At 43.3% G+C, this 2,211-nt stretch overlaps 2 annotated features.

Annotated features, from left to right (window-relative positions):
- Positions 394-893: an enhancer, noted in NCBI's record as "H3K27ac hESC enhancer chr1:191402217-191402716 (GRCh37/hg19 assembly coordinates)". NCBI's record gives its function as "activates a minimal SCP1, AML or CMV promoter by ChIP-STARR-seq in naive H9 embryonic stem cells {active_cell/tissue: H9 hESC(naive)}" and the evidence as "EXISTENCE:reporter gene assay evidence [ECO:0000049][PMID:30033119]".
- Positions 894-1,395: an enhancer, noted in NCBI's record as "H3K27ac hESC enhancer chr1:191401715-191402216 (GRCh37/hg19 assembly coordinates)". NCBI's record gives its function as "activates a minimal SCP1, AML or CMV promoter by ChIP-STARR-seq in naive H9 embryonic stem cells {active_cell/tissue: H9 hESC(naive)}" and the evidence as "EXISTENCE:reporter gene assay evidence [ECO:0000049][PMID:30033119]".

Here is a 2,211-nt window from a genome sequence, read left to right as displayed (position 1 = left end):
GTGGTTTCTTCTCAATTGGGTAGACTGGTTCAGTGGAAAAATCTGGAACTCAAGGGCTGCTGTTCAGATTCTTTTGTCCCACGGGGTGATCCCTTGATGTGGTTCTCTTCCCCCTTCCCTATGGATGGGGCTTCCTGAAAGCTAGACTAGAGTGATTGTTATTGCCCTTCTGGGTCTTGCCACCCAGCATGGCTACTGGGCTCTGGGCTGGTGCTGGGGAATGTCTGCAACTAGTCCTGTGATGTGATCTGTCTTCAAGTCTCCCAGATGTGGATACCAACACCTGCTCCAGTGCAGATGTCAGGGGAGTTAAGTGGACCTTGTGGGAGTCCTTGATTATAGTAGTATTGTTGAGTGCATTGGTTTTCTTGAATGCTTCTTATACTAGCAGTGAAGTTGTCACATGGACAGACTCAGGACCTCTGGTTAGCCAAGATGTTGCAGGCAGTGGAATTAGCTGTTGTTTTCTCATTCTTTGAATAAAGGTGTTTTTTTTTTTTTTTTTTTTTTATGAGTTTCTGAGTTGGTTGGCCTCCAGTCCGGAGGTGGCACTTTCAAGAGATCACCAGCTGCAATAGTAGAAGGTGGATATAAGCTTGCCTTATGTTGCCCAGGATAAGTATTACGGTTTCTCAGGCAATAGGCAGGGCCATAGAGCTCCCAAGAGTTTATGTTTTTGTCTGTGGCTACCAGGGCCATTAGAGAAAAACCATCAGGTGGGGGCAGGTTTAGGCAGGTCTGAGCTCAGACTGTCCTTGGGCAGGGCTTGCTATGCCCACTGTGGGGGATGGGTTTGGTTCTTAGGTCAATGGAGCTATGTTCCAAGGGGGGTTATGGCTGCCTCTGATGTGTCATACAGGTCACCACGGAAGTGGGGGAAAGCAAGCAGTGACAAACCTCATCCAGCTCCCATGCAACCAGCAAAGCCAGTCTCACTCCTGCTGTGTTCCGCCAACAGCCCTGAGTTTATATGCAGGCAGCCTGCACAAAAGGCTGAGATCTTGCTGCAGGCTACAAGTCTCTCCTCTTGAGAAAGCAAGCAGGCTCTCAGACCTCTCCTGCTGGCTGCAGCTCCTGTGCTTATATCTGCACTTGTCATTTGCTCCCCTGGATTCTGCTCAGGAAAATTCACGCTCAATCAAAATATTACAAGTTCAGCTAGAAGTTTCCTTTACCCTGTGGCTTCTCCCCAGTTCTGCTGAGTACCTTCCCCTAGGACCCTTTTGAGGTAAAGCCAGGGATGGCTTCCCTTGGTTCAAGCTGGGGACTGGGAGTTCCTACAGGGCTCTTCCCACTGCTTCTTCTGATTTTATATTTTGCTTGGCTCCCTAAATCCATTTCAGCTCTAGGTAAAATTAAATTCTTCTCCCATGATCTGAATTTTCAGGTTCCCCAATAGGGATATGTGTTCAGAGGCATACTTTTCCCCCTCTCGCACTTTGGGAACTCCGTTTTTCATCTGTCTCACAGACTTTGCAGCAGCAAGCCACTACTTTTGAAGGGTCTGTGAATTATTTTGGTTTTCTTGGTATGTTCCTGTGGTGGTTCTTGGAGTAAAAGTTCATGATGTGAGTCTCCACATGCTGTTCTGTCCATCCGAGTGGGAACTGCATGTTAGTCCTGTCTCCTGTCCATTATTTTCCCCTTGAGTGGTAGGAAATTTTCTTCTGTTAAGGGCTAAATAGCAAATAATTTTAGTTCTATTGCAAAAATATTCACTTGTCACAACTACTGGAATTTTCTCCTTGCGTAAAGAAAGCAACCATGGACAATATATAAATGAGTAACAATGACTTTGTTCCAAAAAAACTTTATTTACAAAAGTAGGCAGAGGCTGGGCTTGGCCCAAGGACCTTAGTGTGCTGACCTCTGAAGTACAGCATCAACAAACTAAAAAGGAAAAGTCCTGAGGATGTAATACTGGGCAATTTTACCAAAATAAAAAACCTATATTTGCATATCAATAGAAAATTATTTTATAAGTGAAGTTAATACATAGAGGAAAATACTATATATGATGGTTATATTCTTAGGAATTCCACCAAATGTTTATAGAAATTATTGTAGAATATAGGGTTACAGGTTTCATCTTTTCTTTGTATTTTTCTGGTAATTCAAAGGTTTTATGGATTTGTTTTCCTGTGAGCTTATATCAGCTTTTAAATCAATATGCTTTTCTCTTTAAAAAGATATAACATTTATTAATTTTGC

This window comes from Homo sapiens, chromosome 1 (genome assembly GCF_000001405.40).
Source record: "Homo sapiens chromosome 1, GRCh38.p14 Primary Assembly".
In the NCBI taxonomy this organism is placed as follows: domain Eukaryota; kingdom Metazoa; phylum Chordata; class Mammalia; order Primates; family Hominidae; genus Homo; species Homo sapiens.
This window is presented reverse-complemented; position numbering and strand designations above follow the sequence as displayed.